This window comes from Homo sapiens, chromosome 6, assembly GCF_000001405.40.
Source record: "Homo sapiens chromosome 6, GRCh38.p14 Primary Assembly".
NCBI lineage: Eukaryota > Metazoa > Chordata > Mammalia > Primates > Hominidae > Homo > Homo sapiens.
This window is the reverse complement of record NC_000006.12, coordinates 116,422,991-116,434,896: the sequence shown is the minus strand read 5'-3', so window position 1 is coordinate 116,434,896 and position 11,906 is coordinate 116,422,991. Positions and strand designations below refer to the sequence as shown.

At 36.7% G+C, this 11,906-nt stretch overlaps 1 protein-coding gene across 13 annotated transcripts in view; it reads right to left on the bottom strand.

Annotated features, from left to right (window-relative positions):
• The window catches only part of DSE (dermatan sulfate epimerase), a 190,691-nt gene that overhangs the window by 9,965 nt on the left and 168,820 nt on the right, over positions 1-11,906 (bottom strand). For 7 of the 13 annotated variants that reach the window (NM_001322937.2, NM_001322940.2, NM_001322938.2 and 4 more), the window contains 3 exons: positions 8,070-8,323; positions 3,704-3,943; positions 1,347-1,554 (listed from right to left, as the gene is read on the bottom strand). In NM_001322937.2, the coding sequence (NP_001309866.1) occupies positions 1,347-1,554; positions 3,704-3,943; positions 8,070-8,323 (702 nt within the window). Of the gene's footprint in view, positions 1-1,346; positions 1,555-3,082; positions 3,981-8,069; positions 8,324-11,906 lie in introns of those variants that run through there. The other 6 variants (NR_136524.2, NM_001322944.2, NM_001374521.1 and 3 more) reach the window with 4 other exon arrangements.

The following is an 11,906-nucleotide window of genomic DNA, read 5'->3' as shown; positions in this document are numbered from 1 at the left end:
TGACTTCTTATTTTCATTTATGATAAATGTTTATTATTAGCACTATGTACTTTTCCCTAAAGTAAATCAATCACCTAGAGTTAATCTTATTGGTGTTTGATATTGACTGTTTCATCTGTTGTTCTAGAGTCTCAGTTTCAAGACATCAGAAATTATATCTCTACTTAGGTCTAGTATAATGTTGGCTTAATTAATGTGATTTAAAAAGTGTAGATGTAAGCTGAATTGGCCATCTTACTCTCAGTTTTTGGTCAGTTTGCATATTGCTATAAAGGCAGATTTTTAAGTTAGACTTAGCATTAATCTGACCTATTAATCCTGTAGTTAGCTTTATAGAACTCTCTTCATTGAATATTTATGAGTAACTTATTTATGGGTTACACTATTAAGTAATTATGTCATACTCCTGAGAGAACTCAAGGATGGTTGCATCTTAATATGTTTAGTTTATCTATGAAAATAATCTTAAATTGTTGGTTAAACTATAGACACCATTTTACTAATATTTTTTCCTCCTTAATTTTTTTGTATTTTGAAAAAAAAGGATAAAGAGAAGCAAACCACAAGAAAGCTTGTTTTGGAGTTGAATGCAAATTTCAACAGCTTGAAAAGACATCAGGGATTAATGATTAATCAGTTCCCTGTAATTTTGATTTTAACTTATTGGATGCCAACAACATATTTGGCAATACTTTAAAAAGGAGACCCAAGCTTCTCTTTCTGGGCTTAAAAGATTAAGGCAAAAAAATTTATACGGTCCTTTTATTATCAAAGTGAAGCTGTCAAATACTGTCAAACACTTTTAAACACTTTTGAAAATTTAGTAACAGCTTTGCTATTAGAAGATTATAATGCTCCATTTACCAAAACAAAATATTTTACTACCTTTTTTTTGGTGTGATTATCAGAATAACCTAGTCTAAATTTTGTGTTTTGTTTTATATGCTTTCAAAAAATGATGTAAAATCAAAACATGCTTATTTATGAAATAGTGCAAGTGTAGGACAGCTCTAATATGAGAACCAAAAACTGAAAACAGTAATTAGATGTTAAACATAAAGAAATGTTTCTAACACTACCTATTAGGTACTATGCTCACTACCTGGGTATACTGCACATGTACCCCTGTATCTAAAAGTTGAAATTTTTTTTTAAAAAAGAAAAGTTTCTAAGAGTTTCAAAAACAGTGATATGAGTTGAATTGAAACTTCATATACTCAGGTGGCATGGAGAAAAGATTTAAAAAGTGTTTTAGTTTTTCTTTTTAAATGCAAAAAAACAAGTGCATAGCATGAATAGTACCCTTGGGTACCATTTCTCTTTAAAGCTAGCCCAATGTGTCATACCAGAGAAATTCTGTGTGCAGAGTGCACCAGCGCTGCCCTTTGGATGGTGTTCCTGGACCTTCCACCACACGGTTCCTTCTGATTTGGTCAGCTAGCCAGTTACCACTGCCATTACGCATGACAAATTTATCAAGGAACACTAATTGGCTTTCTGGACCATAAAACCAGTTGTAATTTGAGTCCGCAATAGCCACAGTCCTTTGAAACCCTAGGGAAATAAGTTGGAAAGAATTAAGATACTTTGAAAACTTCACACTCCTATATAGGTCTAAACAATGACTTTTCAAATCTAGTTGCAAATTAGAATTGTGTAATGGAAGGGATAAAATAAAAGAAAAATCACAATCCTCACATTTTATTCCAGACCAGTTAGTCAGAATCCCTCAAAAGGTCTTCCACATATGTTGTGTGCAAGCTTGTATTTATTATGTGGTAACCTGTCCTTGGTAACATTAGTGCTACACCTATTCCCTGCCTTCCTCATTTTCCAATGTTCATGCTATACGTGATTATATTTGCATATATACATGGGACATCCTCTTGTGCAGTTTGGGTTTCTGAACCTGGAATGAACACTAGCTCTCCCACAACTCAACATGCATTCTAGGCCAAGATAATAAAATAACATGCTTCAGTTTGGCTTCAATAAAGTGTAAGTTATACTATATACGAAGTTCAGGGGAGAGACTGAGTTTCTACAGGAAGAAAATTTAATTCCCGGAGTAGCTCCTGCCAGTATGTACTGCTGGAAGTTAAACGACAGAAAATGCAAGGATCATAAAGCCATATATCATTTTTGGAATAGGGAAGAAAAATAAAAGCAGGTAAGACTGGATATGCTCCACGTGTTCATGAAAAAAGAAGCAGCAAGATAGAAAACTCAGCCAGACAAAAAAATTGCTACTAGAGTATCAACTGTAGAAAAAAAAAAAAAGAGAGAAATGAAGTTGAAAACAGATTGCTTTAACATAGAACCTCTTCTAAAATGTTACCACAATTATATTTATGTAATTTACAGCTAATGTTTTTGTTCCTAATAATTTAGTAAATGATCTTGTAAGTATACCTTATTTTAAAATGATATTTTCTGAATCTTCTACTAGTCTGTGAATTCCTTGAAAGCAGGAGATGTGTTTTATTCCTCTTTGAATCCTCTGCCTACTACAGTGCCTGGCACACAGATGTTCAATAAAAGTTTGTTTAATTAACACAAACATATAAATGCTGCTCTTAGACATGTTCATACTGTCTTTTCCACTTTAGGAAGTAGCCACAGACACAGCTCACAGCAAACACAATTCCTGATGTAGTTAGCCTTTAGATCTCAGCTTAAATTACAAAGCACTGAAACCTCTTAAAGGTCCCTTGCTTCAGGTAGCCTTTGTTTACTAGGATGAATTGCAAAACAGGCCTCTCCTGCATGTCTAAGAAAAAGCAACAAAGCAGTATTTTTTTGAATGTAAGTCTAAACTAAATCTTAAAATGGTTCTTATGCTCTGCAATATTTTTGAATTAGTCCAATAATGGAGATTCTATTAATCTGTATGTATACTACCAGAGCCAAAAGATTTAAATACTATATTATTTGTTGTAGGTCTAGAATCACCATCTAAAAATTGCATTTCCTTGGGGAAGGGGGGGAATCTATCCTGATAAAATTTTCCTTTATAACTTGTTCTAACATCTTAGTCCTGTTTTAGAAATAAAAAAAGGTTACAAAGTTCTCTGGAAATGAATACATTATTAAATCATGTATATATTTTTTTTAGAGCTAGTTCTCTTAGAAGGCTAAATGACACAGCAATAAAGAAATTACAAGTTTTACAGCACTTTTTTTGTTTACTTTTCTATACTATTTACTTCAATAAAATATTACAATACTAAAGCTCCAACTTAAATGTGTAGGTGTAATCTTTCATTTTGAATCATGTCTGTATAGTTTGAAAGAAAAAACTGAAAACCAAAAATTAAAATAGGATTGATCAGGGATCACATATAAAGGAAAACTGACAGGTAATCACAAATGTTTATATTTTGCTTGCAATGATGAAGATGAGTTCGTATATTACTCAAGTTTGGATATATAAAAAAAAAGTATTGAGGGGCCTAGAAATTGTATTTAATCCATAACCCTCCAAACTTTATAATACCTAAATCATAAATACTCACATTAGCCTCCAAAATGTTCTGGCTATATGCAACTCTTGAATTCAATTTTTCTTTGATTAAAAAAATCTATTTAATTTCAATATGACAAACTCTAAGGACCTAATTTCTCTGCCTAGTCTAGCTCATTTTCATAATCAGAAAAAATTACAATAGTTTAATGTTTTCACACTTCTGACTCCTCACTATACCTGGCAGGATGGTTCTATACATAAATGCAAAGTGTTGTTTAAGCCACGGATGGCCAAAGTGGTTGATGTTGAAGTGCCTCTGGACGAGAAACATGTATTGGAAGAGTGATCTAGTGGTGTAGCTGCCATACGCAACTCCTTCATAGAGGGAGCCATCCGTCACCTCCCTGAGCAAGACCAGAGATTTCTCCATGATGGTCAGAACTTGTTTGGTCCATAAGTAGGCTTCTTGAAGATATCCTGAAGGATGAAAACACATGGAAGCAATGACTAAAGCCTGTGACAAAGCATAAACAAAAATATGGCCAATAAAACCCTCTGAGTTATCTAACTAGTTTATATTACAAATCGCGTTTTGTAAAACTCCAACTTGTCAGTGTATAAATAACATCTTGTAATCCAGGTTGTGACAGTCCATGATGTAAGTTAGGAAGTTCTTCCTGGCTAATATGGTGAAACACTGTCTCCACTAAAATTACAAAAAATTAGCCGGGTGTGGTGGCAGATGCCTGTAGTCCCAGCTACTTGGGGGGCTGAGGAAGGAGAATGGTGTGAACCCGGGAGGTGGAGCTTGCAGTGAGCGGAGATCGCGCCACTGCACTCCAGCCAGGGCGACAAAGCGAGACTCCGTCTCAAAAAAAAAAAAAGTTATTGACTCTATAAATGAAGAGAAACCCTTAAATGAGTATCAGTCACTTTCCAGTCTTTAATAAACTGTATCACATGTAAGATCACAAATGCATATAACTTTATGTTGGCAAGAGAGGATTTGTATATTAAGATTTTTATTCAGTGTTCCTAAAAATATAATACTTGAAAATATTTTTAAAAGTTTATCTCTTTGTGAAACTTGCATCATTATTTTATAGAATTTGTAATAGGCTGCACATATTATAAACGCTAAACGGACAGTCTTCAATTTGTATTGTCATTAGAAGGTAACCTCTTATCCTTTATGTGCTTTTCCACAGGATCTGAAAAGGCAGCACAGTGGGGCTGAGAAACCACTGGAAAGGCAAACTAATAATGAAAAATCAACTAGGAATCCTGAATCTGCCAAAAAATGAGCTACATGATTTTGTCCAAGCAATTCTTCCATCTGTCACATTTTAATCTCCCCACTGAAAATTAAGTCTATAACAAGTTATAAAACCTTTTAACTCAGAAATGCTAGCTTTCTAGAACTGTTGCACTTAGTTGACAATAACAACTCCTCATATTTCTTTTTTTTTTTTTTTTTTTGAGACGGAGTCTCGCTCTGTGGCCCAGACGGGAGTGCAGTGGCGCAATCTCGGCTCACTGCAAGCTCCGCCTCCCGGGTTCACGCCATTCTCCTGCCTCAGCCTCCCGAGTAGCTGGGACTGCAGGCGCCCGCCATCACGCCCGGCTAATTTTTTTTTTGTATTTTTAGTAGAGACGGGGTTTCACCGTGTTAGCCAGGATGGTCTCGATCTCCTGACCTCGTGATCCGCCCGCCTCGGCCTCCCAAAGTGCTGGGATTACAAGCGTGAGCCACCGCGCCCGGCCAACTCCTCATATTTCTATAACATTTATAACTTACACAGCACTGAACAGAATCTTAGTTAATCCTTTTAACAACCCAATTATGTATCATTGCCCCAAAACAGAAACGCTGACTTGTTCAAGACCTCTGGCACATGACTAAAAATGAACACAACTTTAATCTCAACCTAGGTCTTTAGATTTAAGGTTTTCCTTTAAAACACGCAACCCTTGAGAATAAAATTAAGCCCAATGCCTCCTGGTGTGGGTGTAGCCACATTGCTTTACTTCCACAAACATGTTGACCACGCTACCATGGCCTACTATGTGGCAGGTGTGGGGCTTCCAGAGGCCCAGATCTAACCAGCTCTGGGCCTAAATATAGGTCCCAGGCTAAGACTTGGCTCCTGACTAATGGGGGCAATGCAGCTGTCAGGCTTGGGTATGCAGAGGTGACTGATCATCATACCCTGGCCTCTTCTGCCACCCAGCATCATACCTGATATGTCAATATTCTGGATAGTTTTCAATTTCCATTCTCTACCATTCTGGTTTAAAATTCTAATTATCTTCATCCTTTTCCTGTGTGTCTTCCATCTCCCACCAGATACCAATGTGACTGATGCCTAAAATCAGATCACTGTTCCCAGGATACCACATTACCTAAATTTCCTTATTTGTTCCTTACAACAACCCTCTTCAGAAGACATGAGGCAATGTCTACCAAAATACTTTGTAAACTGCAACTCTCTGTGAATACAAGGTACTGATACTGTTAATTGAAGCTATACCCTGTATTTTTTTTCTGCCACCCGAATACCTTGCCTGGAATGTTTTTTAATTTCCCCTTAAGTTCTCCTATCCATCTTCAAAGTTACATGAAGAAAATTACTGAAAGAACACTGCTTTCTTGAATTCCAAGTTAATATACTCATTTTATATTTAACCATAACGCTTTTCATGGTATCTTTTATTTCACTCTCTGGGGTTACTGTAACTATGGTGTAATCATTTAAACATTTCACACCTGTCTTCTTTCCAACTGATTTCTACCTCCTTCTGTCTAGTCTTGTCATAAATGTGTGTACTTATGTGGGGGCTCTGGAAGAGTGTCTGCCAGGGCCACCATAACTTTAATCAGAAAATAAATGCATAGGAAAATTCCTGCCAGGGCAAAATGACATATTTTGATTCAATCCAAACCAGTATTTTGGGTCACTGCTTATTATTTGGAATAATGTTATTTACAAAGACTGAAGAAATAAACTCTACTCCTTCCCTTAAATAAATAAAAATTTATTTAAGGAAATAAAACTATAGTAGCTTAAATTTAAGACCTGAAGCAGAAATTTGGCTCACCTAAGGGATCCTTTCACCATTTCATGATGGTGTCTTTTCACAGGCCTGGGGCTTTATAAATGGTTTGTTAGTGGATTCTCACATTGTTTGCATTTTGATGTTTTAATTTTCTTTTCCTTTCTATTTTATTTATTTATTTCTTTAAGGCTGAGTCTCACTCTGTTGCCAAGGCTGGAGTGCAGTGGTGGGATCTTGGCTCACTGCAACCTCCGCCTCCCAGGTTCAAGTGATTCTCCTGCCTCAGCCTCCTGAGTAGCTGGGATTACAGGCACACGCCACAACGCCCAGCTAATTTTTGTATTTTTAGTAGAGACGGGATTTCCCCATGTTGGCCAGGCTGGCCTCGAACTCCTGTCCTCAAGTGATCCGCCCGCTTTGGCCTTCCAAAGTGCTGGGATTACAGGTGTGAGCCACCACGCCTGACCTGATGTTTTAATTTTCTTTAGGTTTTTGTGAGAGTAGGGGACAAGGGGAGCTAGCATGAAAATTCACTCTCATAATTAAATTTTGCTTAAGTTATTATAAATGGAATTCCCCTTCTGACAGAGATAACAAAATACAGCAGAAAGAGATTGAACTTTATGGATGGCCAGAAGTGGGTCCAAATCCCAGCTGCCTTATATGGTTGATGTGAGAATTGAATAAAATATGGAAAAAGACTTGCACATGTCATATACTCAGTTAATGTTAGTTTCTTTTCCTCTAAGACCTAATTAAAAGTGACGGTTGGTTGATGTGACAAGGGAGAAAGCTAGGTTTGGGTAAAATCCGATGCTGGATAATCAACAAAATGCTTAATAATTCTTATGGGGAGTATAATCGAGTTAAATTCTGTTAGATTTCCAATCTCCAATTATATATTTAATATTCTGATAATTCCCTGTGATCTCAGAGCTGCTTTTCTTAAACACAATCTTAATCAGTCATTTATAGATTTCTACAGAAGTTGTAATTTAGAGTTAAAAGAACAAAGAAAATGTATTATTGGCAATTATGCAATATGTTAAAGCAAAGTAGCTACACAATCCACAAAAATTGCTTCCAATTTGGATGTAAATAATCCAGTTTGGTTGTTTTAAATATTAAGAGGAAAAAATAGTAGTGGTGTTATGATTCACATCTGTGTGCTGGAAATCTTCATTTCAAATAACCAACCATGTGTTTAGCTTTTTAAAATTTCACTTATTCCAGGATGGCTGTCTTCACTGTCAAAATTCTCTGGAAAAAATGAATATTTATCACTGACCCTGAGCTGTGAGGATTTGTTCTGGGATCATCATAAGCCATAATTAGATAACATGCCGGCTAATATACTAGCAGAAAATAAGGAGGAGATGTCCCTCAATTAACTAAGTGATACTGTAGGGACTACTTCATTTCATGGGTTTAGTTAGGATCCAAGTATGAACATGTACTAAGAATGGTTATAAAAATGCTTTGCTCACAACATGGCAACTATGACTTCCGTCAGCTCAGGCATCACCTTGGCTGTGTCCACACCCACCTTGATTCATCAGGACTAGGCTTCCCGTGAGCAAAGCCATACAGTTGGTGGGCTGATGATTGTGCAGGTATTGAAATCCCCATCCTCTCCTGTATGAAGTTTCATACATATACCCTGAGGCATTGGCAATCACTTCAAGAAACTTCTCCTGTTGTGTCTTGCTCAGGTAGTTGTACAAGAAGTCATAAGCAGTGGCAAAACCAACCAGGGAGTGAGCAAGCGGGACCTCATCCCAAGGAGCATCTTTCACCAACCTGTAAAGGAAAATAAATCATGGAAATGAGTTCATCAGACTCACAGCTTTCACCACACTTCTAAAGTGTCTATTTCTCAGAACTAAAGGGCACACTTGAAGATATAATCCAAGGGCTTAATGACACACAACTGACTTCCCTCCACATTAGAAACAAGCGTAAAGTTTGTCTAAAATGTAAAAATTATATAGTAAACAGTTTTCTCTCTCAGGATTCTGGCAACATCGAGATGTTGAGAATTTTTACTTTTTTTACTCATGACAAGAAGTAGTAGAATATATTCAAAGAGATCTGAAGCATAGAACATGTGTTGGCAGGGCAAAATTCTCTGGAATACCCATTTAACCAGTGCTCACCCTACTCCTCCTTTTCACTTGAATAAGATGCTCTCAGTTCTATTCTTACGGCCACCTTGCTAAGACAGTTGAACATATGTATTGCCTCTTATTTCCCATAGCTGGTCAATGCGAAGGTACTGTGGTCCATAATCCATGATCTCTCAATCTGCACAGACCCACTTGGTCATCACCATGGTGGGAAGCGTGGCAAACGTGAGTGGGAGCTGATTCTAACTCAGAATTTTTACATCCCTCTTTCCCATAAACTGAACTGCACTGCCTTAAAGGTCCTTCAAATATCTTTCTAAGAAGTCTAAAAGTTGATCTTCTGTTAAGAATTACATTGTCCACTTTGGGAGGCCGAGACGGGCGGATCACGAGGTCAGGAGATCGAGACCATCTTGGCTAACACGGTGAAACCCCGTTTCTACTAAAAATACAAAAAATTAGCCGGGCGTGTTGGCGGGCGCCTGTAGTCCCAGCTACTTGGGAGGCTGAGGCAGGAGAATGGCATGAACCTGGGAGGCGGAGCTTGCAGTGAGCCGAGATCGCGCCACTGCACTCCAACCTGGGAGACACAGCGAGACTCCGTCTCAAAAAAAAAAATAAAATAAAATAAAAATAAATAAAATAAAATAAAAAAAAGAATTACATTGTCATTTTCCAGGAAGCCAAATTTCTGTTTGACTAGCTATATTATTCTGCAAATTAGTGTGTGGCTTGCATTAAGCAGGAAGCAAACAAAGGATCTTTCACAATCAGAATTCTAAGGAATTAACCAGAAAACCCTTCCCATCTGTTCAGGATGTATTTGAGTAATCTCCAAGTGAGGGAAACAAATCAAAAGTGTGCTGTACCTGTGGGAGGTAGAAGAAAGCAATTAGGGATGAAGCTAAAGCTTAACATTTCTATGCCATGAACCTCTTTTGGCAATCTAGTGAAGCCTTGACCTCTTTCTCAAAATGTTTTAAAATTCGTAAGACATAATATGTAAGGATACATGGAAATCTATTATTTTGAAATATAATTATCAATACACATATTTAAAAAATAATAATACAGGCTTTTTTAAATTAAGGCATGAAATACCAACATTTAATAGCAGGGATAATAACTACTATAATTTGTAAGTGGTAATAAGCATAATTTTTGAGATGTCTATAACAACTGTAATGTGGTAATGAAAATATCTGTGATACCTACCTGTAACTTTGTTACAGATCCTCCCAATACCATCAAGATTGGTTATCTCTACTCATGATTGGAAGAAATGTTGGATTTCAGTTAAAGTTAGTAAAAGTTAAGATGTATTAGTTCTCTCAAACAAACCTCATAGACCTCAGTTTACAAATACTTTAAAATGTTCTGAGAGACTACCTCTTCCAGATTATGTTTTTCCTTTAGAAGTTTATGCTAAAGAAATGGCCTAGGTGAGGCCTTCCCTGGTCACCCTATCAGAATTTCATCATCCTCCCAAAATAATATTTAATTCCCCTTTTCTTTTTTCCCTTTAGTAAATATATGTATGAATATGTCTATGTATATGTTTCCCCTCCTAGAATTTAAGTTCTACAAGGGCAGGACTTTTTTCTTCACTATTGTATTCGCAATTGGATCCCCAATCATAGAACAGTGTGGCACACAGCAGATGCTCAATAAATATTTTCAGAAAGAAGGAAAAAGTGAAGGAACAAACCTGTAACTCACTGTCAGCCACACTGCTGGCAGTGATTATGTGATCATTATGGAATCAGGAATTTGGAGAGATCCCTTTATATTTAGTAATAATTTCAGCATTTGGTTACCATTCGGTGTTTGGTGCTAAAAAGACTAGTGCTAAAAAGATTGATGAGTTTCTTAGCAATTTAGTAACAGACAAAGCTCCCTTGCTCTAGCCAGTCAGCTTGCCAGTGTGTGTACTGTTTGTAAACAGACTATGAGAGTGTGAATGAATTCTCTACTTCTAGGAGAAAAACAATTCATACTGCACACTCATTGCCAGGGAGTTGGGAATATCATCTTCACTGACTCATGGTGACTGGTGGGCCAGGCAGGGAAGCCAGGTCATTTGTTTCCCAACTTGTGTCATTGTACCATGTCATGATGCATCTATAAATGGCACTATATACACCGACCCATGATAAAGCTGATGTCAATGAATTGCTACCAGCCAGTAAACCCTCACATGTGTGATTAACCAATAAGCTTATTTTTATAGATAACCAGAACATTTGATATAATTCTCATCCTTCATGAAATGTTATGCAAATTTCTGTGAAAATGTCCAAGCCCCAACCTGCAGTTTGTTTATTTCAAACAGTTTCCAATTCAATGTAACACTGGCGCCCCAAAAGAAAAAAGTTTATGGCACCTTCAGGTCTGTCCCTATATCATTAGAAAAGCTGACCTGTAATAGCTGTATTTCTAAAAAGTTATCTAAATCTTTCACCAACACGATCTTACCCAGCCTTAGATACAAAGTGAAATAATGGAAGAGACTATATTTTACAGTCATAAAAACCAATGGAAATTTGCTCTTAGTTCATGGATGGCAGCTGAGAAACTATCTTATTCAATGTGATCCTGACCAGTAATAAATCAGTTCACTGTGAATGGTGGTGAAGTGGGAAATTATTTTTTAAAAAAACAGACAGACATTAATTTATGAATTGTGCTTCAACTTAAAATATATCCATGTGTACACAGATTCACCAATCTTTTGAAGGTGAGCCAAAACCTATTCTCTGAATATGGGTCTACAGATGGAGTTTCATTGTTCTTTCCTGCAAAGAACACACATAACACATCACCACAATTTCCAGCTTTGTTTTCTTTATTATATAGGAAGAAATTAAAGATACCTGTGAGGGAACGCAGAAGCCTTCTAGATTTTTATGAGTTTTTCCCTAATCTTCTACAAATCTCAATCACACTATATCATGACAGCAATTTTTTACAGTAAGTTATTCCAAAGCTTTTAGGTTGGTTCTAGAAATATTAGCTTTTTCTTTTTGAACTCACACTTTATCTATTGGTATTATTAAAACTGTCTCATTACAGGTATTAGGGAAACTGTATTACCTGGTTTGAGAACAAATACAGCTGACACTTGCTCAGCCGGTAACTCTACTGGGGGGAAAAGAAATAAATGTAAAGTAAAGGGCAACCTACAAGTCCTGACATTCAGCTACTGTGTTACACAAGGAATGGAAGCTGGGTTCACTGGCAAGTTAGTTAAGAGGAGG